The sequence below is a fragment of the Homo sapiens genome, chromosome 4 (genome assembly GCF_000001405.40).
Source record: "Homo sapiens chromosome 4, GRCh38.p14 Primary Assembly".
Taxonomy (NCBI): domain Eukaryota; kingdom Metazoa; phylum Chordata; class Mammalia; order Primates; family Hominidae; genus Homo; species Homo sapiens.
Window position 1 is genome coordinate 82,892,809 of NC_000004.12, and position 27,426 is coordinate 82,920,234.

Sequence of the window (27,426 nt, forward strand, 5' to 3'; positions counted from 1 at the left end):
GGTAATGGAATTATTAACCACATTGTTGGACTGGTTTTATTTAACTGTGGTCACTGGTATTTATGCATATTGGAACTGTGCAAAGACTGCCTGTATCTAAAAAAAGAAAAACTCTTTAGTTCACAAAACTAAATCCAATTTAGTTAACTACTATCCAAGCCTAATCCTGAATCAAATAAAAACTGAATTGCTCACTAGAAGAATGTTTGGAGAGAATTTAATGACAAATTTTTCAAATTAGGATTTGCATAGCACAAAGATATTCTAGGTTTTTTTAGAGACAGGTTTTTGCTGTGTTGCCCAGGCTGGAGTGTGGTGGCAATGATCACAGCGCGCTGCAGCTTCAACATCCAGGGCGCAAGTGATCCTCCCACCTCAGCCTCCCAAGTAGCTAGGACTACAGGCACACAACACCATGCCTGGTTAATTATTTTATTTTCTGTAGACACAGGGACTCATTTTGTTGCCCATACTGGTCTGGAACTCCTGGCCTCCAGGGATCCTTCTGCTTTAGCCACCCAAAGTGCAAGGATTATAGGCATGAGCCTCCATGCCCATTTGACATTCTTTTGGGAATTCAGATCCCTTCCCCTCATTTCAACAGTCTTGATGTCTGCAAAGAGTGAAGTTGTAGACAAAACAATCATCACAAGATACATGAATGTTTATGTAACTTTTTCCATAGCAGCCAGTACTATGCTTACACCTCAGTAAAACAGTAGCATCCATTTCATTGTTTTAGTTTGTTTCTGAATGCATTTATTTCACAAATTTGTTTAAGGGCTATAAACAAAATTTGTATCAACTTGTTTGTATATATTTACAAAACAGAAAATTAAGTCAGCATTAAGTCAACATGAGTAGTCACAGAATTTTTCCCCTTTATAAATGGTACATATTCAAGGAGACTTCAAAAAGTTTGTGGAAAAATGGTTAAAAGATAAAAAATATAAACTATATTTTTGAACATTAGCTCTATAGCATTCAAGACACTTTTGTAAGTGATGATACCAGCTATTTAGTCCATCCCTAAAGAACTGAGAGTTCTGGGAATTTATCTACATCAATGCAGTTTCTTTATACATTAACTTGAGAAAAATGTACTGCCCTGAAAAATTTTTTTAAGATTAGGAAACAAAAAGTCAGAAGGTGCCAAACCAGGACTGTAGGGTGGATGCCTAGTGATTTCCCATCAAAACTCTTGCAAAATGGCCTTGTTTGATGAGAGGGATGAGCAGGAACATTGTTGTGGTGAAGAACTCTCTGGTCTTTCTCGGGGATTTTTCTGCTGAAGCTTTGGCTAAGTTTCTCAAAACACTCCCATGATAAGCACGTTACCATTCTTTGGCCCTACAGAAAGTCAACAAGCAAAATGCCTTGAGCATTCAAAAGCTGTTGCCATGACCTTTGCTCTCAACCAGTCCTCTTGTGCTTTAACTGAACTACTTATCTTGGTAACCACTGCTTTGTGTTTTGTCTTCAGGATTGCGCTGGTAAAGCCATGTTTCATCTCCTGTTACAATTTTTCAATGAAAGGCTTCAAGATCCTGATCCCACTTATTTAAAATTTCCATTGAAAGCTCTATTCTTGTCTGTAGCTGATCTGGGTGCAATGGTTTTGGTACCTATCAGGTATAAAGTTTGCTGAACTTTTCCAGTCAAAATTGTGTAAGGTGAACCAACTGAGATGTCTATGGTGTTGGCTGTTGTTTCTGCTGTTAATTGTTGGTTTTCTTCAATTACGCCATGAACTAACTTTTTTCTCACAAACTGATGTGGATGATCTGCCACTGTGGGCTTCTTCTTCAACATTACCTTATGCCTTCTTAAAACGAGTTATCCATTTGTAAACTGATTTCTTTGGAGCACTGTCCCTATCAACTTTTCATAAAGCATCAATTAGTTCACCATTCTTCCACCCAAGTGTCAACATATATTTGATGTTTGTTCTTGCTTCAATTTTAGCAGAATTCGTGTTGTTCTGATAGAGCCTCTTTTCAAACTGATGTCTTATTCTTCTTAGTGCTTCAAACTAGATCCTGTTCAGACATGTTATAACAAGTTAGTAGGAGTTTATTTTGGTCCAAAAATTTTGAAATCCATGCATAGTTTTTTCATGATATGCATTTTCCATGCACTTTTTCAAGACCCCTCATATTTTCTTAAATTTGAGAAACAACTACAATAACAAGCCTAATTCATGACAGAACTAGTATTAGATTTAAGATTCCCAGTTTCCTATCACCTTCTTTTCTACTGTTCCTGAACAGATCCTTAAGTTATAGGCTAGTCATCCTTGGCATATCTAACAGTCATTTGTAAACCCTGGATCTTTAAGAATATCAGGTGCTGAAAAGATTATATCATTATTTCTAAGAAAAGATAACCAACAGCCAGGTGTGGTGGCTTATGACTATAATCCCAGCACTTTGGGAGGCTGAGGTTGGTGGCTGGAAGTTTGAGACCAGTCTGGCCAACATGGCAAAACATGGTCTCTACTTAATAAAAAAAATTAGCTGGGTGTGGTGGCATGCGCCTCTAATCCCAGCCACTTGGGAAGCTGGGCCACAATAACTATTTGAACCCAGGAGGCAGAGATTGCAGTGAGCAGAGATTGCGCCGCTGCACTCCAGCCTGGGCAACAGAGTGAGACTGTCAAAGTTAAAAGCTCCACCCCCTCCAATGCCTTTCCTGAATTGAATCTATTAATTAAAAAAATACTATTTTGAAATAATACTTATCTTTAAAAGCTGGAAGAGTAAGGAAAAGAAATTTTTAATTCAGAGTACAGTATCCACATTAGGCTGAAATAAATGTCAATTTTCTGCTCATACCTGACCTTTTCTGTGTTCTTTTATCAAAATAAATGTGTAAGTCCCATACCTTATTATATAAATCTTCAACTTCTTGATCAAATAAATATGACAAATGATGTTCTCTAAGAAAAACACCCTTCAATTTTATTCCTAAAACGAAAAACATTCAAAGGAACTCATTGTGCAGAAACACAATATATACAAGTCTCATCATTTTCTTTTTCTATTATGTCCTCATCCACATACATTAATCACAACAAATCATGATGTGAACAGCAGTGGAAAAAATTTAATCATTGGACATTTATTTCTTGAACTTCAGCTCTAGTTGTAAGATTCTCATTGCTTAGCTCTTTAAAACAAATGCATATATTTATCTAATGTAGAACAGTTAAGACCTCCAATTTTACTATAATTGGGAAAAAAACTCAGAACAAAGATTATGTCAAGTGTATCACTGTATTGACTTTGTTAACCTGCTATACATCTGACACAAGGGTAGGTGTTCAACAAGTGAAATACCAATCCTAAAAAGCCAGAAGTCTGTATCTGCTTTCATAGGGTTATTATGAGAAATAAATATTGTTTAACAGAACCAACTCTTTCTTTTTTGAGACAGAGTCTTGCTCTGTCACCCAGGCTGGAGTGCAGTGGCCAATCTTGGCCCACTGCAACCTCCACCTCCTGGGTTCAAGTGGTTCTCCTGCCTTGGCCTCCCAAGTAGCTGGGGTTACAGGTGCGTGCCACCATGCCCGGCTAATTTTTGTATTTTTAGTAGAGACGGAGTTTCGCCATGTTGGCCAGGCTGGTCTTGAACTCCTGAGCTCAGGTGATTCACCTGCCTTAGCCTTTCAAAGTGCTGGGATTACAGGTGCGAGCCACCATGCCTGGCCAAGAAAACCAACTCTTTCTATACACTATATATAAAAATCTTAGCAGCCTGGGCAACACGGCAAAACCCCTTCTCTACCAAAAATACAAAAAATTAGCCAGGTGTGGTGGCACACGCCTGCAGTTCCAGCTACTTAGAGAAGCTAATTGGAACTAGAGTATGGCTAGAAATTAGGTATTCCTACTCATATAATTTTCCTTGGGGTGATACTAACTTGGAAAGTTGAACTTTCTAAGAATTTTTCAAGGAATATTGTCCAATTTCTTCTGTGCAGTTATACAAATATTTGCTATAGGATGGAGTAAAGGTACAGATGTACAGCATCATTGAAGGAGTTTGACCTTTTTCCCCAAAGCTTGATTTTTATCCACTATGATGAATACATTTTACTAAATACTTGCTACTCTTTTCCTTCTGCTGCTTCCACCCCCACCTCCCACAGGCTTCTACTCCTCATCAGCAAAATATAGACCTTGTCAAGCAATCAGAATGTTCCTAATTGGCAGAACACTAATTCGTGCCTGAGATTTATAATCTTTTGAGTCTTCTTGTTTTCCTTTCATCACTGCTCAAAAGTTCTATTAGAAGAAAAAACACTCCCCCTTTTCCTTTAAGTCCTAGCACTGCTTCTGATATTTGGAAACCACTTGTCTAATAACAGAAGCATTACGTATAAAACAAAGCATAACTAGTTTTGGAGCGTATTAGGGTGTAGCTGCCCCTCCATATCAGGCTTGATGCTGAGAAGACACTTCCAAGTTAGCATGAGATTCTAGAAGTAGAAATAATTATGTAACAAATAATGATATAACAATAATTTCAAAACTCCATGGCTTTCTGAAACAAAAGACAGAACTCAAACAATGAAAAATTCGGCAACACAAAAGGGTAGGTCCTCAACAAGCAAGATACCAACCCTAGAAAGCAAGAAGTCTATACCTGCTTTCATAGAGTTATTATGAGAAATAAATATTGTTTAAGAAAACCAACTCTTTCTATATACTGTATATAAAAAGCTTAGCAGCCTGGGCAACATGGTAAAACCCTGTCTCTACCAAATATACAAAAAAAAATTAGCCAGGTGTAGTGGTACATGCATGTGGTCCCAGCTACTTAGGAAGCTGAGGTGGGAAGATTGCTTGGGCCTGGAAGACAGAGGTTGCAATAAGCTGAGATTGCGCCACTGCACTCCAGCCTGGGTGACAGAGTGAGACCCCATCTCAAAAAATAAAATAAAATGAAATGAAATTAAAAAAAGCTCAGCATAATTTGTGGCCCATAGTAACTGGCCAATAAATAAATATCTGTTATTATTCTTTCCAAGTGGACAATTAATGAGATTATATACCATAAAATAGGTAGATTTCATTAAAGCCTTAATAAATGTTTTTTACTTGGACAATCCTCCATTTCCAACTCACTGCTATAGTTCCAGGAATACTTAATACATTTAAAATAGAAAGATATACTACCTTCCCTGCATATTTTGAGTAATTATCTTCCAAGACCCATGTATCTTTTCTCAACATCTCTGAGAGTACAATTCCTGAAAAGAGATATTTTCTTTTAAAATTTTTTGTGCAATAGTCAATGCCTTTGCAAATAACACTATCTTTAATACAGCTTACATATCCTCATTTAAGTATTCAATAATCACAACGGTTCATTATGTGAACAGCAGTGAAAAGGTTTAATCACTGGATATGAAGTTACTAGAAGAAGCAATGATATAACCAAATGATCAGATTGAGAACTTCCATGTCAACAGTAAAATAATCACAACAACAAAAAAAGTATAGATAAGTTATAAACAAATGTAAAGATACAAAAATACAACTAAGAAAAAAAAATTCCATCTATAAAGGATTACTTATTTCCTATGCAGAAGTAAATATCTAGAGCAGTGACCCCTTGCGGCTATTGCCTTCATTTAAGTAAATCTGTTCTGATAAAAGCAGTTTTCAGAAATTCATCTGAAATTAACAATTAAAGGAATGTTGTCAGAATAATGTAGGAAGCACACTATTTCATCTTTAGGAAAGGCAAATAGTTGCAATCCAATTAAACAGGAAAGAAAACAGCCCTCATTTCAGATGATGAACTGGCAGCAGTACTTTCAACTCTACCTTAAGAAAATGGCAAGTGAATGCCTGTATCTGCAAACTTTTGAGTCCTTAAGAAAAGGCAAACACCACGATGAGACAGCCACTTCACATGCACAAAAATGTGGAGAAACTGGCAGCCTCATCCACTGCTGGTGGGAATGTAAAATGGTGCAGCCACTAGGGAAAATAATCTGGCACTTCCTCAAGAAGCTAAACACAGTTATCTTATGACTCACCAATTCCACTCTTAGGTGTGTAATCAGGAAAATGAAAACATTTGTCCACACAAAAACTTGTACACAAATGTTCATAATAGTAAAAAAAAAAATTGGAAAACCCAAATGTCCACCAACTGTTGAACGGATAAACAAAATCTGCTACATCCATAAAATGGAGTACGATTCAGCAATAAAAAATAAAGTACTGATACGTGCTATAAGATGGATGAACTCTGAAAACATTCCAAGTGAAAGAAGCCAGTCACAAAGACCATATATTAGTTCATAATTCCACTTACATGAAGTGTACAGAGCAGGCAGAGGCACACGGAAACTAAATTAGTGTTTGCTGAGCGGGGTGGGGGAATATTTGGAGGTGCTGCTAGTAAGAATGAGGTTTCTTTCTGGAGTGATGAAAATGTTCTAATATTGATTGTGACTGTTCCACAATTCTGTGCATATACTAAAACCCACTGAATTGTACACTTTAAACCAATTAGTTGTGTGGTATGAGAATTATATCTGAGTAAAACTGTTACAAAAATATAAGGCAACTAATTTTTTCCTTAAAGATAGCTAAAAACAATGTTATTTTTATTCAGCCTCACTCGGGTCTTAATTGGTTGAGCAGGAAAAGGCTCTAACAGCCCAACCAACTTACAGTATTTAAATCCAGTTCTTACTCTCTGCACACACCTTACAGCCAAAAAGTATTTGCCCTGCACATCCCCCAGGGACCAATTTTTCCAAAGTTCCTTGACCATCTATCCTTAGGCCATGTGACTTTTAAGGAACCATAACCAAAAGCTATTAATTCCATTCAGAGAAGATACAAGCATATTATAATGGAAAACTGGTGTGAATAAGTAATACCTTAATATGTATCTTCGGCTGTAATCTGGACAAAGTAAACACAAAGGGGAAAAAGAAGCAATCTTGTTAGGCCTGGATATTTGGAATTATTTTTGTGTGCTATACAAAGAAACGGAAAAGTTGCAAACCCTTCTCTGTTTTCTGTATGCTAAGGATCTCCTTCTCAGAGACAAAAACCCACTGGCCCGTTTCCTTCTCTAAGCAAATTGAAATCTCTTCCTCAAACATAAGAGCTTATAACTAAGACATTGTTCTAAGCTCTATCTCCTGAAAGCTATTCATAATGCCTCATTCCCAACCAAAACCACTTAATTGCCCCTTGTCCCCTGCCCCTATTACTACTGAGGAGCCCCAAGAACCTTACCTTATTTCCTTCATTGTGGCAAAGTGTTTCAGAAAAGGGTTCCTTGAATTAAAAGTCGGCGTATCCTATTTGACTCCTGCTCCTCCGGTATCACATACCTACAGCCAACCATGCCAAGAGCTTCCCCATTATCTCCGCATCGGAGAGCTACAAGATAAAGCGCAAGAACACGACACGCATCTCAGTAAATCATATATTTTTGGCCCGACTCTGTCTTCAACACACCTAAGGCACCGTGTTTTATCCCTCTTCCATACCCTTTCCTCCCGATATCCTCCAGTTTCAGAGACCGCACCCGGAGACCCATTGGCAGGTTCCTGGATTCGCCTCAATTTTGGTCCTGCCTCTCTGCTTCGCATTTTCAGGCTTGGCCTCACAAGAAGGACGATGGCGCCAGATTGTGCCAGAATGGGTGAAAACAGAAGGAAAATAAACCGGTTGCAGCAAAACCCACTATTCCGCCTCCAACGCGGAGGGAGGAGCGGTCAAATGCACGTCTTCAGGCTCAGGCCCTTCCGATTGGCTGCTGGGACACAACGTGGCCTGTCATTGGCTACGGCACCGGCGCAGGGCCTTCGGAGAGGAAGTGTGGAAGTCCCGCGCCTCTAAAGCCCGCCTTTCGTGACAAATAAAGGTCGTAGCCGCAGAGTCAACGGGCGGAGCTAAAGTGGTCGTGATTCATGCTGTCGCGGGAACCCCGAAGGTGGGGCCCCACGTAACAAGAAGATGACCCGAAGTTGCTCCGCAGTGGGCTGCAGCACCCGTGACACCGTGCTCAGCCGGGAGCGCGGCCTCTCCTTCCACCAGTGCGTATGGGAGCAGCCTCGAAGCCTTCGAACTCCCTGCGGGGCCCGGCGGGCCGTGGCGTGGCGTGGGGCGGGGCCGGGCCGCACTGTGGGTCGCGCCGCGTGTGTGACGCGACGTGACGTGCGCAGCGTCGGGGCGTGGGAGCGGAATTGGGGCACTGTGAGAATTGAGATTCTCTCTCTTCCCGCCCAGTGTTTACCTCTGAATAGCCGGTTCTCGCACCGCCTACCGCTTTAAGGAGAGTTACGCGAAAGGAGTCCTCCATTAATTGGATGGTCTTATTATTTGAAGTGAGGAGGCCGAAAGGGAAGGCAGTTTAGGACAACGGTTGAAGTGTGTGTGTGGCGTCTTCCTGAGCACGAGTACAGATCAGTTTTCTCCTGTACTGCCTGACATTGCAAGTTCTTAAGTGCTGTTAGCCGAGCTGTGCAAGGCCGGTCCGATTCTGGCTGGATTTGATCATGGCAGGGAAGTTTCATTTGGCTCGACAGTGGGGAAGAATTTCAGATCAGTCTTATCTGAACTCATATCCATGGTTCAGACTGGTATAGGTCATTCAGTATTCAGGGTACACTAGCAAGTAGAAAAGTGGGTAAAATAGATCCTCACAGACAAAAGGAGCAGATTTATGGAAAGATCAAAAAGAACTTTATGGTTGGAAAGGGGGGGTAGGAAGAGGGTAGTTAGGAATGGCATGGGAAAATGTAAAGGATAGAAAGTGCAAATATAGAGGAGTGGAAAAGTACCTGAGAAACCATTTTAAAAATGTAAATGCCAGGTTAAGGAGTTTAGAGTATGTATGGTAGGCTATGTATAAAATTCATTGATTTTTTTTTTTTTTTGTTTTCTATTTTTTAAATAGGGCTGATTCCTCCACCTAAATTGTTAGCAGTGTGAACCAACTCATTGTGTATGTGAGACCATAATTGATTTGGGATTTTTCTTGTGATAGAGGTAGTTTTAAACTAGGGAGACATGAATTCCAATTTTAATTGAGTATTTACTGATGTCTGTACTTGGCTCTGGGTCTTGGTTTCTTCTTCTGTAAGAGGAATAAAAACCTGCCTTGTAGAATTTTGTAAAACTAAAACGTAAGACTTTATAGCATATGTAACGCACAAGGTAAATGCTTTAAAAATGGTATTATTACCAAATTAATTTTTTCCAGAACTCAAAACTAGTTATGCTAGTTAGATTACAATATTTCCCAACATTTTCCTTCTTTTTTTTTTTTTTTTTTTTGGAGACGGGGTCTCACTTTGTCGCCCAGGCTGGAGAGCAGTGGCACTATCACAGCTCAGCGCAGCCTCTATCTCCCAGGCTCAAGTGATCCTCCCACCTCAGCCTCATGGGACTACAGGCACAGACCACCATCCCGGCTTTTTTTTTTTTTTGGTAGAGATGAGGTCTCAGTGTGTTGCCCAGGTTGGTCTCCAACTTCTTGGCTGGGATTACAGGCATGAGCCACCCTGCCCAGCCCCAGCCTTTTTCATAGCATTTTACGCATAGGAAATAATTGTTCAATACTTTGGGGCAAACCTACAGCACTGTTTGGGGCTGCCTTCAAGTAACTACTCAGGTGTCCCAGCCCACCCCATGGACTAAGAATATCAACAGCTGTACTCACTAGGCATACCTGTTGGGAAGCTTTGCATCAGAGGACCACGCTAGTAATAGAAGTTGTTGGACCAGCCAACTTTTGAGGGTTCCTTGCACGTTTAGAGACTATACCCAATCTGTGGAAAAGCTCCCTTGCAAAATATGTTCCATGAGTTAGAAAAGAACTCAGTGAAAAAAGATAGATTTGCCCCAACTTTATTGGAAAAAGAATTCCCTGTTCATTTGCCCTTGATCAAGTATCATCATCTTCTTAGAACAATAAAATTATAATCCCAGAAATGGAATTAGTTGTTCTTAGGAAAGATCGAACTTTGGATAGTACTTTACAGTTTACAAAGTGATTTTGAATACATTTGTAGCCTCATACACTCTTACTACAGCCCTGTGAGGAAGTTCTAAGATTGAGAGATGTGTCTAATACCATATAGCTGGTAGAAGGTCACTGAAGCTTAAATACAGGTTTTCCAATTCAGAGTTCTTTCTCAAGGTGATTTAGAGAGCATATCAGAATTATGTTTTACCATGCTGCTATATTTTTGTAGCATTTAGCTGAGAAATAAAATTTATACCAATCTCAGTTCTAGTAACTATGTGTTTTAAAGTCTAAATTAAAATACACAAAAAGCATAGTTACCTATAAGTCTGTCTCTAAGATAACGTCAAAGAAGAAGGGGCAGAAAGAGTAGTTTTGTGCTTTTTATTGTGTTAATTTCACAAGTTTCTTTTTCTTTTCTTTTTTGAGATGAAATCTTGCTGTCGCCCAGGCTGGAGTGCAGTGGCACTATCTTGGCTCACTGCAACTTTGCCTCCCAGGTTCAAGCGATTCTCCTGCCTCAGCCTCCCTAGTAGCTGGGATTACAGGTGGGAGCCACCAGGCCCGGCTAATTTTTGTATTTTTATTAGAGACAGGGTTTCACCATGTTGTCCAGGCTGGTCTTGAACTCCTGACCTCAAGTGATCCGCCCGCCTCGGCCTCCCAAAGTGTTGGGATTACAGGCGTGAGCCACCACGCCTGGCCGACAAGTTTCTAAACATAATTTGGCTTGGATTGAAAAATAAATAAATGCAAGGTAATTTTTATAATCAAGGCTAGGAAAAAGTAGTGCCTTTAAACATGAAAAAACAATATAGTAAATATACTTGTCTTGTTTTCTACTGCTGCATAACAAGTTACCTCAAAATTCAGTATAAACATTTTTATCTCACACATTTCTGAGGGTCAGGAATTCAGGAGTGTAGCTCGATGTTACAGTATCTCATAAGATTGCACTCATCTGAAGGCTGAAGTCACCTGCTTTCAAAAAGACTAACTCAACATGGCCTTTGACTGGAGGCCTCAGTTCCTCACCAACTAGTTTTCTCCACAGGACTGCTTTATAACATGCCAGATACCTTACCACAGAGCAAACCATTCTCTACAGAGAGCAAGGAGGAAAGCTTGTTCCTTTATGACGTAGTCTGTGGTCACTTACTGTCACATGTTCTTTTTCCATTCCTTAGCAAATCACTAACTCTAGCCCATACTCACTCAAGGGGAGGGGAATTAGGCTCCCCCTTTTTTTTTTTTTTTTTTTTTTTGTTACGGAGTTTCACTCTTGTTGCCCAGGCTGGAGTGTAATGGTGCGATCTCGGCTCACTGCAGCCTCCACCTCCGGATTCAAGAGATTCTCCTGCCTCAGCCTCCCCAGTAGCTGGGATTACAGGCACCCGCCACCACGTCCGGCTAATTTTTTATATGTTTAGTAGAGACGGGGTTTCACCATGTTGTCCAGGCTGGTCTTGAACTCCTGACTGCTGATCCTCCCGCCTCAGCCTCCCAAAGTGCTGGGATTACAGGCATGAGCCACTGCACCCAGCCAGGCTTCACTTCTTAAAAGGAAGAGTACCAAATAGTTTAAAATCACTACAGGAAAGGAAAAGATGCATATATTCTTTAACCATTTAAATTTGAGCAAATTCTATTAAGTGTAGGAAGTGAAGACAAAATATAGTAGGATTTTTAATATGGGAATTGCCCCTCTATGATTGACAAAGAAAAATCAGATATTGAACCTTTGGATTAAAAAAAATCAAAGAACTTTGAAAAATGAACTAAGTAAATTAAACTTTTAATTCACTTGGCTTTATGTTTCTATAAAGCAGTAAAATAATAGATGGGTTTATATAATAAATACTACTGTAATAGTACTATAATGTTTTCATGTTAATGGAACTTTAATGTGATTGTCATAGATTTCCAACTGATACCATACAGCGCTCAAAATGGATCAGGGCTGTTAATCGTGTGGACCCCAGAAGCAAAAAGATTTGGATTCCAGGACCAGGTGCTATACTGTGTTCCAAACATTTTCAAGAAAGTGACTTTGAGTCATATGGCATAAGAAGAAAGCTGAAAAAAGGAGCTGTGCCTTCTGTTTCTCTATACAAGGTATTTAAATGTAGGTGTAAGTCAACAAAATGAAAATTTACAGAGCCTTTAAAAATCAAGATAGCCCCCATTATAGCTAGAATTTGCAGACAAAAAAACCCAAGTCTTAAATCCAGTAATAGATTTTAAATGCTTTGAAAATTTAAAAAAAAAATTATATATATTAGCATTTGTTCTGGAGCTTTTAAAAAACTATATAAATGCAAATCATTTGTCTAGATATATATAAAGGTTACTAACCAATTGCAAAAATCAACTGGTAGATATAAATAGCCTTAGAATACAGGCTTTTGTTAAGTATGAGACAGCTTTCATAGTACTTTGAAATTATCTATGTTTTTTGGTTCCTCCTAATAATGTTATTTATCTTGATCAAAAATATACCTAATTATTAACATTGATACAGGAAGTATGTGGGAAATAATGAAACTTTCTATGAGTGAGTCACCAGTATTGGTATGATATTCTTCTGTTTCCTATGACTGTTTTTATTTTATCCTTTTACCCCTTAACCACAACTCTGACACATGGGCTTTCACTTTCTGCACAGTCTGTGATAGTCACCTAACTGTTCTATTCTGACACTAGCCTTACTTTCCTCTTAATCGTCAGTCTCCTTCTTCCAGTATTGGTTTATCTCATTCCCCTATTCGGAAGTATTTAGTTGGTGTCAAATTCAAACTCACCAAGTCCCAAGAGCTTCCTATTAACTGATTTGTACATTTTTAACTGTCCTGAATTATCTTTTCAAACCATATATACTTACTATATATGTGATAAATTTGCTTGCTTTCATACTTTTGTGTAAAATCAATAATGGCTGCCATGTGTTGAGAGCTACAATGGTCCAGGCATTGTACTAGGAGATTTACATAAATTCTTATATTGTATCTTCAAAAGAATCCTGTATTATTATCCACATTTTACAGATGAGGACACAAGGGATTGTAGAGCTTATGTGACAGCTAATTGAGGGAGCTAAGATTCAAACCCAGGTCAGTCTTAATTCCAAAGCCATGCACTGTCCACTATGCCTTCTTTTTTGCACAAATAACTTCTCTGTCACCTTCATTAACCATGTTATTGTACCTTCTAAGAACTGCTTAAAACTCACTTCCATGAAGCCATCCCAGTTTACTACCACCTTTCTCTAGTTACTTTATTTCAGAAACTTTCAACATCATATTAATATTTCTGTGTAGTGCAAAAAAAAAAAGCCTGTTTATATTACCCTATAAACTATACATTAAAACATTCAGAGATTATGACCTTTTCTTTCCTAACTAACTCTCCACAGCAACCAGATTAGTGCTTTGTATTTAGGGTATTTTTACAGATACTCTTCTATGTGATTATTTCTAAAATAACTTTAATTTTATATATCTGTCATAGATTCCTCAAGGTGTACATCTTAAAGGTAAAGCAAGACAAAAAATCCTAAAACAACCTCTTCCAGACAATTCTCAAGAAGTTGCTACTGAGGACCATAACTATAGTTTAAAGACACCTTTGACGATAGGTGCAGAGAAACTGGCTGAGGTGCAACAAATGTTACAAGTGTCCAAAAAAAGACTTATCTCCGTAAAGAACTACAGGATGATCAAGAAGAGAAAGGGTTTACGATTAATTGATGCACTTGTAGAAGAGAAACTACTTTCTGAAGAAACAGAGTGTCTGCTACGAGCTCAATTTTCAGGTACTTCCCCCTAGTAACCTGTAGTATTTACAAAAATAGCTATTTTTCTGAGGTACCATTAAGTATTTATTTTGTTCTTGCCTATGAAAACATGCTTTCAGTTGGGAAGTGAAAGTCTCAGTAGCTTAAGAAGAATGAAAATTAATCACCAAAATTCTTTTGTATCTTATGGTTTTCCAGTTATAAAAGTAACATTTATTATAGGAAAAGCAAAGAAATATTTAAGTAATTAAAATAATGTTAATCCCACTACCCAGAGATGAAACCATATGGTTTATACCATTTTCTGTTCTGCACTTATCACTTTTTGTAGTAGCTCTTACCCATTTGCTACTGCAAATTCATTATAAACAGTTTTAACTGCTACATAATTTTACCAAAGTCTTTTTGCAGTAGAGTTGTACTAGTTTGCAGAATTTCTTTGAGCTTGGAAATTGTGTATCTCCACATTTTTTTCTAAAATATTCTATAGAGTAGACTATAAACCCATGGAAAGGCTACCTAGTCCTCTTTAGAGTGAACTAAGATCTTTGAAGAAGGGCAAAATAAAAATTGCCAACTTGTTCTTTGATGAAAGCAGCAGAGATTTGGATTTACATTCTAGGAAAAGAGAAATGTGTCCTCTTTTTAGAAAAGAGTAGCTATCTCCAAAGGAGATGAATATTTTATGTTTTTCCAAGAGGGGACTAGAGGTCATAAATAGGAATCCCCACCAGGAACAGAATTTTTTTTTTTTCTCTTGATATTAGGCAAGATGGTCTGTTCAGTCTGAATAGTACCCTATCCCCAGAAATGTTTTTCATATCTAATTTTCACCCTCAGATAAATAGTAAGCAGGGAACAAAATAAAATAAATGTCCTCATTTTATTTTCTTTTCAGTTCCTCTAAAAATCTCTCCTCTCAGGCTGCCACTGAACAGTAAAACATAATTCAAGTTGAAAATTTTTTCTTCCCTCTAGTGAAATGATTCCAGATGAACCGAATAAATTGGTCAAGGGGTCCTAAGTGGATATTAACCTCTGAATAGACTTAATCAAAATGCAACTATATTTGTATTTGAATTCTGATGCCCAGTGCATTTTATATCCAAATGCTATAATCTGTACCTGAAAATTTTACTATTCATCACAAAGAATAAAAAAATTTATTTTAACAGATTTTAAGTGGGAGTTATATAATTGGAGAGAAACAGATGAGTACTCCGCAGAAATGAAACAATTTGCATGTACACTCTACTTGTGCAGTAGCAAAGTCTATGATTATGTAAGAAAGATTCTTAAGCTGCCTCATTCTTCCATCCTCAGAACGTAAGTGAATTATTTTTTTATTTTTTAAAAGTGACTTTCTTGTCAGGACATCTTGTTGATTGCATGTTAATTACTCTTTAGATGTTAAACCATATTATTCTTTTGTTGCATTTTACTTATTAAGGCTATTAGTACTCATACTCCCATTTAAAAAAAGAAAAAATGGACTAATGAAAAAATGGACTCCCATTATTAGCCCATTTTTGTTCTTCAAAAACTTCTAGGTAGTATTTGCCAATTATCACAACAGCAATATTTTCACCAACAAAATGAAGACACATAGTATGACAAGTTTTTTGCATCTCCCAGACACTCTGGGTGGATAAAATTTGAATCCTGAAATATTGGAATTTCTAGTATACTTCAGTAGTTTAATATCTGACGATCCTGGAAAATCTAGAACAGTTCTGGATTGATCGCCATTGGTCTTAGGCAAAGCACAAAAAAATCTGCGTTTTTCATAAGCACTGCAGTTGATGCCAATTAGGTTGTCCAGGAAACAGATTTTGATAAATAATTTTTTAGGATTTGTGATTAAAATGGATAGATATAATTCTCTTAGTGTGCAGCAAATAACAATGATTTTCTAGTAATGTCTTATAAATTTAATACTGAATTCTTAATTTTTACTGTTTTTACCACTAGTTTTACAGATTCCTTTTTTTGTTTTGGAGACTGAGTCTTGCTTTGTCACCCAGGCTGCATGCAGCACAGCGGCACAATCTCGGCTCACTGCAACCTTGCCTTCCAGGTTCAAGCAATTCTCATGCCTCAGCCTCCTACTGAGTAGCTGGGATTACAGGCATGTGCCACCACACCCAGCTACTATTTTGTATTTTTAGTAGAGACGGGATTTTGCTTTGTTGGCCAGGCTGATCTCGAACCCCTGGCCTCAAGTGATCTACCCGCCTTGGCCTCCCAAAGTGCTGGGATTACAGGCATGAGCCACCATGCCCAGCCTAGTTTTACAGATTCCTTTTTTTTTTTGAGATGGGGTCTTGCTCTGTCGCTCAGGCTACAGTGCAGTGGTGCGAGATCTTGGCTCACTGCAACCTCCGCCTCCCAGGTTCGACCCATTCTCCTGCCTCAGCCTCCCAAGTAGCTGGGATTACAGGTGTCCACCACCATACCCGGCTAATTTTTATATTTTTAGTAGAGGTGGGATTTCACCGTGTTGGCCAGGCTAATCTCGAACTCCTGATCTCGTGATCCACCCACCTCGGCCTCCCAAAGTGCTGGGATTACAGACATGAGCCACTGTGCCCAGCCCAGATTCCTTTATAAAAAATTATAGATTTTCCTCTATACACACTATTACAATAATACTACCAATAAAAGATTTAAAAATAATTGACCTTCAGAGTGGGCTGCTCTTCTAATTGACCTTCAGAGGGCTGCTCTTCTAAAAAAATTTAAAGAGGAAAAATTTATTATTCCCATACATTATATATAAATAATTACTGTTAACATTTAGAGTATTTCCTTCCTGTGTGTGTGTGTGTGTGCACTTAGATTTATTAGTGTTTACATAGTTATGATCTTTTGTAAATAAATTTCCAACCAGCCTTTTATTACTTTATTATGTATGCCTTTTATCTGTAACGTTATTTTGAACTCTTTATAGACAAGTTTTAATAGCTGCATGATATCAGGTAGTCCTACCCTACTTAACTCTGACATTCTCCAGCTATTGGACATTTCTATTGTTTACATTTTGGGGTTATAATTGTTTTTTCATATATTTTGATGAACATTTGTATATAAGGCTTACTCTTTCATAATGTGATTTTACCATTCAAGCTAGATATTATACTTATTTATAAATATTCACTTTTTGCTAAGCAAGAGAGTTTTATAGGTACTGTGTTGATAATTTCTCCTCCTATACCTTTTTGGTTTTTTGTTTTCTGATGGTTGTACATATTCTGGGGGTACATGTGATATTTTGATGCATATATATAATTTGTAATGATCAAATCAGGGTAATTAAAATATCCATCATTTATAAATCCAAACATTTATCTTTTCTTTGTGTTGAGAAGCATATACCTTTTTAATCTCTTCACTGGTTTTAAAGCATTACTTAATGGTATTTCACTATGGTTTATATAAGAGATTTCAGGTAACTTCTTATCTTTTCTTTTTCATGGTTTTCTTCATTTCCCATAGTTCTGCGTCAACTCCTAGATTAAATCTTCCTGGTAATTCCAGCGCACATTTATCTTTTCTCTCTTCATGTCATTTTGCATTTTGTGACCTTTGCTGTAACATTATATATTTAGATTTATAATTCCAGTACTTAAACAGTTGCTCATTTCTTTAGGTACTTTGCCTATAAGTAAGGTATATTGTTTAGTATGATAGTAATATATGTTTGTTATAAAACATTCAAACAGTATATAAGTACATAAATACCAGAAAGTGAAAAACATAGTACTTCGCTTCCCCTAATCCCACAAAATAACTACAGTTAGCAGTTTTGTGTATATCCTCCAAGTTAAATAAAAAAAAAAACCTATTTACCTACCAATAAAATTTTGTTTTAGTGTTCTGTTATATTAATGGTATATAGAGCCTCCGTTTATTTTCTTATATTAATGTAAGATTATATTATATTAATATAAGATTCTTATATTAATGGTATATACGTTTCCATTTATTTTCCCATATAAAAAGTGATGTTTTTAACACAGTTATCTTAAGTATTAGATCTTTATAATCATTATATTTAATATTTATTCAATAAATATTTATTGATCAGGAGCGGCCAGTGAGGCAGGAGGAAAACCAGGAGATTGTGATGGCCTGGAAGCCAAGTGTAGAAAGTATTTCAAGGAGGGAGTAGTCCACTATGTCAAATGCTGCTGGGAGATCAGGTAAGATGAGGACAGAGAATTGACCATTGGATTTTGCAAGATGAAGGTCATTGATGACCATGACAAAAGCAGTTATAGTAGAGTGGTGGAGAGGTAAACCTGGCTGGAGTGGGATTAAGAGAGACTAAAGGTGAAGAAGCAGAGAAAATGATTGTGGGCTCTTCCATGGAGTTTTGCTATGAAGTAGAGCAGAGAAGGGTCTGTAGGTAGAAAGGAACATGCATTGAGGGGAGGGTGTTTGTTGAGATGGCAGATGTCCCAGCGTGTTCGCATGTTTATGGCAATGATCCAAGAGAGAAAAGAAAATTGGCGATGTATAAGAGAAATGATAATTGCAGGAGGATGACATCCAACACTACTGTGGAAGGAAGTATGACCTTAAGGTATTGGGACAGTTCATCCATTGAAACAGGAAGAAAGGCCAGAAGTACAGATAAAATAGGTTAACAGATTTGGTAGTAGGAAAATGAGTTTTGTCTTTTAAAAAGATGGGGTCTCGGCTGGGCACAGTGACTCATGCCTGTAATCCCAGCACTTGGGGAGGCTGTGGAGGACGGACCACGAGGTCAGGAGATTGAGACCACCCTGGCTAACACGGTGAAACCCCATCTCTACTAAAAAAATAAAAAAAAATTAGCCGGGCATGGTGGCAGGCACCTGTAGTCCCAGCTACTCGGGAGGCTGAGGCAGGAGAATGGTGTAAACCCAGGAGGCGGAGCTTGCAGTGAGCCGAGATTGCACCACTGCACTCCAGCCTGGGTGACAGAGCGAGATTCCGTCTCAGAAAAAAAGATGGGGTCTCACTGTGTTGCCCAGATTGGCCTTGAACTTCTGGGCTCAAGCAGTCGTCCAGTCAGCCTCCCTGAGTAGCTAGAACTACAGACATGCACCACCACACTCAGCAGGAAAATGAGTTTTTATTGCATTGCTTCTGTTTTCTCAAAGTTATTAACTGAGAGTTGAGGAGGAAGGCATTAGATTTGGGAAGAAAGGAGAAAATGTGACCAGTCACCTACCAGGAAAAGTAAGTAACTAGAAAAATGCAGTACCAGATTTGTGGTCAAAACTGTTGTCTTTCCCTCCATAATGATGGAGAAACAATTAGATGGTTAACAATTAGACGATGACAGACCAAACTAGACTTAAATTTTTTTAAAACCCTTGGTTTGGTTAGATAGGGTGCCTCATGAATTTCTAATTGTCTATATCTTTCTCTAGTCTTAGCTACATCAGATATTTCTCTAATTTTCTCTTTACTGATGTTGGATCCTTTTTCAGTTCTCCCTGGATTCTTTATGTCCAAAACTTTCCCAAAGCTGTGTTTTTTACAATTTTCAGTGTTTGGGGTCTTTAAAGTAATTTATTTTCACAAATCCTTTGAAATTAAGTCTTAATATCCTTAACTTTCCTTGTTATAATAGTGATATATTTAGTGTGATCTTGGTCATAGATAGAAAATGCTGGCACAGTTGCTCTTTATTTATATTTCCTCTGTTTCTAATTTTTGGTTTATATTCACTGCAGTTTAGTAAACCAACTCCCTCTATAGGTTACCTGCTGTGAGAGAATCAAAAGTAACAACAGTGGGAGTAGCTAAAAGTCTTAACAGAAAAACATTTAGCACTGTAGATCTCTAGGACTATATTTTTCCCAGGCAGAATTTTAGGCCACCCAAGTGACTCCCTATAATCATTCCATAACTAAGTTATTGTATATTGGTTTGTTAATTTAAAATATCGTGTTGATGAGAGTATAAATGAAAATTGCTTTGAACTTTCGCAAGGACAGTTTGGGAATATGAATTGTAAATTGTGTAAATATGAATTGCACAATTATGTGCAGCTGAAATCCTAAATTTGTCTTTAATTTCTTATAAAATATAAGTAAGTTTACCTTGGCATGTTATTCCTAGGAATTACAAAATGACATAAATATGTATATGTGTAAGGGTGCACATGCGTGCATATACACATTGTGGTACTGTTATCTAAAAATTTGAAATTATCAAGATGTCCTTCGATTTGAGTTGGTTTTCATTTAACTATACTGTGATATATACTGTGTACACATTTAAAATGTTGCTGTAGGTTGATACTTAAGGGCGTGTAAAAATATGTGAAACATTAATTACCATTAAGTGAAAAATAGATTCAGTATACAATTTTGAAAATTATATCTAGGTATGTATACATAAAGACATTAACAGTAACTTTTACTTCTTTATACTTTTTGTATTGTTTTTTTAAAAAGAATGTGTCTTTTTTTATGATCATAAGAAAATTTTTTTATTTTCAGAGACGAAAAGAGATTTAAAGGAGAAATTGTCTCCTTCCTTACCATTCTAACTCATGAACTTGGTTTGGATATGCCTACTCTTTCTTATAAAAACTTTAAAAAATAAATCAACAAATCCACGTACCATTCTGCTTCATGTTCATGACATTGTTCTAGTAGCTGTAGATATTCAGATACCATTGAGATTTCCATTTAAAAATCAAACTCAGCAGAACATAAGTTGGTTGTTTTTTTAACCCCATTTAAAATAAAATTACATAGGGACATTAAGTGCTTTGTTATATATGTACCACATATGCAACACAGTTAGCATCCTTGGTGCTCATTTGAGAATCCTAATGTAAAAAAAAATTTTTAAACAATTAAAATTGGATGACACACTTGGAAAGAGCTTTCAACATTCTAGTGTGCTGTAGCACTGCTATACTGTTGAGTCATTGTCTTACTGTTTTTTCCTTTTTTTAAAAATCTTGTAATTTTAGGTTCAGGGGTACATGTGAAGGTTTGTTACATAGGTAAACTCCTGTCGTGGGGGTTTGTTGTACAGATTATTTCATCCCAACCTCCACCCTCGAGTAGACCCCAGTGTCTGTTGTTTTCTTCCTTGTGTATAAGTTCTCATCTTTTTTTTTTTATTTTTTGAGACAGAGTTTCGCTCTGTTGCCCATACTGGAGTGTAGAATGTAGTGGTGTAATCTTGGCTCACTGCAACCTTCACCTCCCAGGTTCAAGTGATTCTCCTGCCTCAGCCTCCCGAGTAGCTGGGATTATAGGCACACACCACTGAGCCTGGCTAATTTGTGTATTTTTAGTAGAGATGGGGTTTCACCGTATTGGCCAGGCTGGCCTCAAACTCCTGACCTCAGGTCATCTGCCTCCCTCGGCCTCCCAAAGTGCTGGGATTACAGGCATCAGCCACCGTGCCCAGCCAGGTTTTCATCATTTAGCTCCCACTTATAATTGAGAACATGCAGTATTTGGTTTTCTGTTCCTGTTAGTTTGCTGAGGATAATAGCCTTCAGCTCTATCCATGTTGCTGCAAAAGACATGATCTCATTCTTTTTTATGGCTACATAGTATTCCATGGTGTGTATGTACTGCATTTTCTTTATTCAGTGTGTCATTGATGGAGATTTAGGGTGTTCCATGTCTTGACTATTGTGAATAGTGCTGCAGTTAAAATTTGCATGCATGTGTCTTTATGGTAGAATAATTTATATTCCTCTGGGTATATAACCAGTAATGGGATTGCTGGATAAAATCATAGTTCGCTTTTAGCCCTTTGAGGAATCACTTTCCACAACAATTGAATTAATTTACACTCCCACCAACAGTGTATAAGTAAGTTTTCCCATTTCTCCGCAATTTTGCCAGCATCTATTATTTGTTGACTTTTTAATAATAGTCATTCTGACTGGTGTGGGATAGTATCTCATTGCGGTTTTGATTTGCATTTCTCTTAACGATTGGTGATGTTGAGCTTTTTTTCATATGCTTGTTGGTGGCATGTATGTCTTTTGAAAAGTGTCTGTTCATGTCCTTTGCCCACTTTTTAACAATTTTCTCTTGTAAATTTGTTTAAGTTTCTTACAGATGCTGGATATTAGGCTTTTGTCAGATGCACAGTTTGCAAATATTTTCTCCCATTCTGTAGGATGTCTGTTTACTGTTGACATTTTCTTTTGCTGTGCAGAAGCTCTTTACCTTAATTAGATCCCACCTGTCAATTTTTGCTTCTGTTATGATTGCTTTGGTGTCTTTGTCATGAAATCTTTTACCGTTCCTATGTCCAGGATGGTATTGCCTCGGTTGCCTTCCAGGGTTTTTATAGTTTTGAGTTTTACATGTAAGTCTTTAATCCATCGTGAGTTAATTTTTGTATGTGGTGTAAGGGTCCAGCTTCAGTCTTCTGCATATGGCTAGCCAGTTACCCCAGCACCATTTATTGAATAGGGAGTCTTCCCTTTTGCTTGGTTTTGTCAGCTTTGTCGAAGATCAGATTGTCATAGGTGTGTGGCCTTATTTCCGGTTTGCCCTATTTTAATATACAAACAACAGATACTTTTGTCTTCTAAATAGATTATAACCTACTTATAGTCAAGGTATGTCTTTTGCCATCCTGTAAGTATGTTATTGTTTTGTTTTGTTTTGTTTTGTTTTGTTTTGTTTTGAGACAGTTTTGCCTCATCGCCCAGGCTGGAGTGCAGTGGCACAATCTCGGCTCACTGCAACCTCTGCCTCCCACGTTCAAGCACTTCTCCTGCCTCAGCCTCCTGAGTGGCTGGGATTACAGGTGCGCGCCACCATGCCCAGCTAATTTTTGTATTTTTAGTAGAGATGAGGTTTCACCATGTTGGCCAGGCTGGTCTCAAACTCCTGACCTCAGGTGATTTGCCCACCTCAGCCTCCCAAAGTGCTGGGATTATAGGCATGAGCCACCATGCCTGGCCCATAAGTGTGTTTTTTAAACCTATTAATGCATCATGAAATTAGTGGGTCATAATTGCCATTTAAGTATATATAAATATATTTATATTTATTTAAACTATTACAGTCATCCCTTGGTATATGTGGGGGATTGGTTCTAGGACACCCCCAACTTGTGCCAGTATACCAAAATCCATGTATATACAAGTCCTGTAGACAGTCCTGCAGAACCTGTATGTATGAAAAGTTGGCTGTCTGTATATGCAAGTTTTGCATCCTATAAATACTGTATTTTCTCTCCATGCATTTGGTTGAAAAAAAAGTCATGTATAAGTGTACCCATGCCATTTAGTTCAGAAGTCAACTCTGTGTGTGTGTGTCATATATGTGTAAGTTCGTAGTATGTACTAAGGGTGAATTTTGTTTATGAAACTTCTAGGTAGCACCTAAAATATTTGGAAAGCCCTATCCCAAAATACTTAGGGAAGAACATTAAACTCTCAATTAAGTAGAGGTCAGCTGTCCAGGAAGAAGCCTTGGTTGCCTTAGAATATAGCCAAAAAATCAGAAATTTAACTTAACAGACATTTGAGTTACAAAAGTATATGTTACAGGTGAACATCCTAGTCTCTCCCTCAGAATCCCTTTAGTTTTAGACAGTTATTAAATGTGGCTGTTTTCTTTCCTGATCTATAACAAGTTAGAAAGAGTTAACTAGAAGGAAGAAGAATTCCAAAGATAGACACCATTATAGGAAGAAAATAATTAGCAGTCTGAGAAGAGCAGGGATACTATGAAAGAACTCCTAAGATAGTAGCACAGGTAGGTTGTATAGGGGTGCAGATGCACACTTGTTATATGCCTTTAAGGGTGTAATTTTGAGGCTGTAAAGAGTGAGAAATGCACTAAACTCCTGGGCATCAGGAAAGCCAGGTTTCACATTCGTTCATAACTAACAGTACATTATGGGCCAAGTCGCTTAACCTCTCCCTCTGTCCCAGTTTCCTAATCTGTAAAATGAGGTAGATGTACTAGATGTTCTCAAAGATTCCTTCACATTCAGCAGTTTTCTCATTTCAGTGAATTTACAGGTAAGACTTGTTTATGATTTACAATATAAAAAGATCAGTTAGAACAAACTGGTTAGTTGGTTTACTTTTTAAAGAATAAATGAGAAATTAAAAATGTTGGATGTTTGCATCTTAAAATACTACTTTGTGTTTCTAAGTTTATCTTACTATTTTATTGTAACGATGAATTTACCATTGAAAATATCTATAGAATTTGGCTGCTTATATACTTGGCTTTATTTCTACAGGGATGGGAGACTACTTTAATAGTGCTTAAGGCATTTTCCCATTTGTCTTTTTATTTCTCTTTGAGTGTTCTTTCACTTTTTATGTATTCTAGGTGGTTATCCAAATGCCAACCCAGTCCAGGTTTCAACAGCAACATTTTTTCTTTTCTTCAACGAAGAGTAGAGAATGGAGATCAGCTCTATCAATACTGTTCATTGTTAATAAAAAGTATGCCTCTCAAGCAACAGCTTCAGTGGGATCCTAGCAGTCACAGTTTGCAGGGGTTTATGGACTTTGGTCTTGGAAAACTTGATGCTGATGAAACGCCACTTGCTTCAGAAACTGTTTTGTTAATGGCAGTGGGTATTTTTGGCCATTGGAGAACACCTCTTGGTTATTTTTTTGTAAACAGAGCATCTGGATATTTGCAGGCTCAGCTGCTTCGTCTGACTATTGGTAAACTGAGTGACATAGGAATCACAGTTCTGGCTGTTACATCTGATGCCACAGCACATAGTGTTCAGATGGCAAAAGCATTGGGGATACATATTGATGGAGACGACATGAAATGTACATTTCAGCATCCTTCATCTTCTAGTCAACAGATTGCATACTTCTTTGACTCTTGCCACTTGCTAAGATTAATAAGAAATGCATTTCAGAATTTTCAAAGCATTCAGTTTATTAATGGTATAGCACATTGGCAGCACCTCGTGGAGTTAGTAGCACTGGAGGAACAGGAATTATCAAATATGGAAAGAATACCAAGTACACTTGCAAATTTGAAAAATCATGTACTGAAAGTGAATAGTGCCACCCAACTCTTTAGTGAGAGTGTAGCCAGTGCATTAGAATATTTGTTATCCTTAGACCTGCCACCTTTTCAAAACTGTATTGGTACCATCCATTTTTTACGTTTAATTAACAATCTGTTTGACATCTTTAATAGTAGGAACTGTTATGGAAAGGGACTTAAAGGGCCTCTGTTGCCTGAAACTTACAGTAAAATAAACCACGTGTTAATTGAAGCCAAGACTATTTTTGTTACATTATCTGACACTAGCAATAATCAAATAATTAAAGGTAAGCAAAAACTAGGATTCCTGGGATTTTTGCTCAATGCTGAGAGCTTAAAATGGCTCTACCAAAATTATGTTTTCCCAAAGGTCATGCCTTTTCCTTATCTTCTGACTTACAAATTCAGTCATGATCATCTGGAATTATTTCTAAAGATGCTTAGGCAGGTATTAGTAACAAGTTCTAGCCCTACCTGCATGGCATTCCAGAAAGCTTACTATAATTTGGAGACCAGATACAAATTTCAAGATGAAGTTTTTCTAAGCAAAGTAAGCATCTTTGACATTTCAATTGCTCGAAGGAAAGACTTGGCGCTTTGGACAGTTCAACGTCAGTATGGTGTCAGCGTTACAAAGACTGTCTTTCACGAAGAGGGTATTTGTCAAGACTGGTCTCATTGTTCACTAAGTGAGGCATTACTAGACCTGTCAGATCATAGGCGAAATCTCATCTGTTATGCTGGTTATGTTGCAAACAAGTTATCAGCTCTTTTAACTTGTGAGGACTGCATCACTGCACTGTATGCATCGGATCTCAAAGCCTCTAAAATTGGGTCACTATTATTTGTTAAAAAGAAGAATGGTTTGCATTTTCCTTCAGAAAGTCTGTGTCGGGTCATAAATATTTGTGAGCGAGTTGTAAGAACCCATTCAAGAATGGCAATTTTTGAACTAGTTTCTAAACAAAGGGAATTGTATCTTCAACAGAAAATATTATGTGAGCTTTCTGGGCATATTAATCTTTTTGTAGATGTGAATAAGCATCTCTTTGATGGAGAAGTGTGTGCCATCAATCACTTTGTCAAGTTGCTAAAGGATATAATAATCTGTTTCTTAAATATCAGAGCTAAAAATGTTGCACAGAATCCTTTAAAACATCATTCAGAGAGAACTGATATGAAAACTTTATCAAGGAAACACTGGTCATCTGTACAGGATTATAAATGTTCAAGTTTTGCTAATACCAGTAGTAAATTCAGGCATTTGCTAAGTAACGATGGATATCCATTCAAATGAGAGACCTAAAATATATTAACATTTTAATTAAGAATACTTGATCAACATTTTTTGAAGTTCAATTTACCATATTTTATAAATTGCGCATTCTGCACAGTGGACAAGTTTGCAATTCTGACTTATTAAAATTTCAAATTCTGCATATCACAAAATCTCCTTATACTTTTGGTATGGCTTGCAGCATTTATGAGTTTTCCAAAATATAGAAAGCAGTAGGTCAGTAGGAGCAAACTAGCCAACAGGTACTGTCTTTGAATTTACTACTGTAAGACTAAGCAGTGTTACTGGACACAGTTTTAACTTGTTCAATCTGCTTCAAAAACAAGAAAAACAACAACTATGAGTTATCAAAATATTGACTCCATTTATGACTAGACTACATTTCTGAAAGATCTTTGGTTTATGATTCTTAAGAATATTGACAATACCTATAAAACTTTGAAGATAACTTTTACTTAAATATGAAAATTATAGTTTGAAAATTAGGCTCAAGCAAATATCAAATACTGCAAAAATCCCCTTGTCCCAGGATACCCTAAAATAGAAGTGCTTAAACTTTGTCAGGCAGAAGGTAAAGTACATGAGCCATGAGATTCTTCCTTGTGCTGCAGCCACGCTGGGGAGTGCAATCTGGAAAGAACATACCTAATGTGTTTTTCACCATCCATTATCTCTGAACTTTGAAATATTACTTTTGAATAATAGGCTGGACACTTAGTTTGACTTGAAAGAGCTCAATGCTCATCGGAAAACAGGGAGAAACCTAATCTGAAGATGGAAGCATACTAAGGACAATTTTCTCCACTCACATCCACATTTGAAAAGAGGGACAGAAAAACATAGGTAACTCTACTTTCACAAATGAGGATAGTTTAACGGATAGAAGAAACAAGCACATTATTCACCTGTGTTGTAAAACATCTACTCTTTTTTGTCACTGAATAAGTGTTCCCAAAGTACAGTTAATCCTAATATGAAAACTTAGAATTGTAAAAGATTAATGATAACGTAAAAGTATATTGATTAAAATTCCCCTTACAAAGTATATTTTGATGTTTGTTTATTCTACCTCAAACAGAGGCTTAAGTTTTGAAGTGTAACCAGTTTATACTTCATTTTATACAAAACTTATTGCTGAGAAGTCTGAATATTGTGCTTTTTGTTGTTTGTAAATAGAATTGAATTTAAATACACCAGGATAAATCTTATTTAAAGGAAGCCTGTTTGAAAATCACCAACTTTAACTTATTGCTTATATAAATCCAAGCTCTGTACCTGATCTTTATGTAAAGCAAGATTCATATGTGTAG

At 37.3% G+C, this 27,426-nt stretch overlaps 2 protein-coding genes, 1 long non-coding RNA gene and 2 other non-coding genes across 13 annotated transcripts in view, besides 4 other annotated features; 1 reads left to right on the forward strand and 4 right to left on the reverse strand.

The window, feature by feature from the left end:
- SEC31A (SEC31 homolog A, COPII component) overlaps positions 1-7,761 on the reverse strand; it is an 82,061-nt gene extending 74,300 nt beyond the window's left edge. The window contains exons 1-3 of the mRNA NM_001318120.2: positions 7,526-7,761; positions 7,269-7,415; positions 6,905-6,929 (exon numbers count right to left, since the gene is read on the reverse strand). The gene's annotated coding sequence lies outside the window, so the exon portion shown is untranslated. The remainder of the gene's footprint in view (positions 1-6,904; positions 6,930-7,268; positions 7,416-7,525) is intronic.
- On the reverse strand, positions 644-8,108 carry THAP9-AS1 (THAP9 antisense RNA 1). 3 transcript variants are annotated; one of them, NR_034075.1, is made up of 6 exons: positions 7,526-8,108; positions 7,269-7,415; positions 6,905-6,929; positions 5,181-5,254; positions 2,884-2,966; positions 644-2,039 (listed from the first exon to the last, which is right to left on the reverse strand). It is a non-coding gene; the product is annotated as a THAP9 antisense RNA 1 (long non-coding RNA). The 3 variants fall into 3 exon arrangements; NR_034076.1 differs by lacking the exon at positions 6,905-6,929; NR_034077.1 differs by lacking the exons at positions 5,181-5,254; positions 6,905-6,929.
- SNORD143 (small nucleolar RNA, C/D box 143) lies at positions 3,045-3,120 on the reverse strand. The gene has a single exon (NR_132759.2). It is a non-coding gene; the product is annotated as a small nucleolar RNA, C/D box 143 (small nucleolar RNA).
- Positions 5,332-5,417, reverse strand: SNORD144 (small nucleolar RNA, C/D box 144). Its single transcript, NR_132760.2, has one exon. It is a non-coding gene; the product is annotated as a small nucleolar RNA, C/D box 144 (small nucleolar RNA).
- Positions 7,372-7,891: an enhancer, noted in NCBI's record as "H3K27ac hESC enhancer chr4:83821333-83821852 (GRCh37/hg19 assembly coordinates)". NCBI's record gives its function as "activates a minimal SCP1, AML or CMV promoter by ChIP-STARR-seq in naive H9 embryonic stem cells {active_cell/tissue: H9 hESC(naive)}" and the evidence as "EXISTENCE:reporter gene assay evidence [ECO:0000049][PMID:30033119]".
- Positions 7,507-7,626: an enhancer, noted in NCBI's record as "active region_21665". NCBI's record gives its function as "activates an Ori minimal core promoter by ATAC-STARR-seq in GM12878 lymphoblastoid cells {active_cell/tissue: GM12878}" and the evidence as "EXISTENCE:reporter gene assay evidence [ECO:0000049][PMID:35858748]".
- Positions 7,892-8,411: an enhancer, noted in NCBI's record as "H3K27ac hESC enhancer chr4:83821853-83822372 (GRCh37/hg19 assembly coordinates)". NCBI's record gives its function as "activates a minimal SCP1, AML or CMV promoter by ChIP-STARR-seq in naive H9 embryonic stem cells {active_cell/tissue: H9 hESC(naive)}" and the evidence as "EXISTENCE:reporter gene assay evidence [ECO:0000049][PMID:30033119]".
- On the forward strand, positions 7,927-27,161 carry THAP9 (THAP domain containing 9). 7 transcript variants are annotated; one of them, NM_001317776.2, is made up of 6 exons: positions 7,927-8,074; positions 11,928-12,123; positions 13,053-13,118; positions 13,516-13,819; positions 14,977-15,127; positions 24,136-27,161. In NM_001317776.2, exons 4-6 carry the CDS (start codon positions 13,672-13,674, stop codon positions 26,114-26,116), a joined length of 2,280 nt encoding a protein of 759 aa, NP_001304705.1. In that variant the 5' UTR covers positions 7,927-8,074; positions 11,928-12,123; positions 13,053-13,118; positions 13,516-13,671; the 3' UTR covers positions 26,117-27,161. The 7 variants fall into 7 exon arrangements, with proteins under 7 accessions (NP_001304705.1, XP_047272121.1, XP_047272122.1 ...); XM_047416165.1 differs by lacking the exon at positions 13,053-13,118 and having other exon boundaries at positions 7,927-10,556; XM_047416166.1 differs by lacking the exon at positions 13,053-13,118 and having other exon boundaries at positions 7,927-8,985.
- Positions 7,937-8,286: a silencer, noted in NCBI's record as "silent region_15536". NCBI's record gives its function as "represses an Ori minimal core promoter by ATAC-STARR-seq in GM12878 lymphoblastoid cells {active_cell/tissue: GM12878}" and the evidence as "EXISTENCE:reporter gene assay evidence [ECO:0000049][PMID:35858748]".
- Positions 27,162-27,426: the final 265 nt, after the last annotated feature.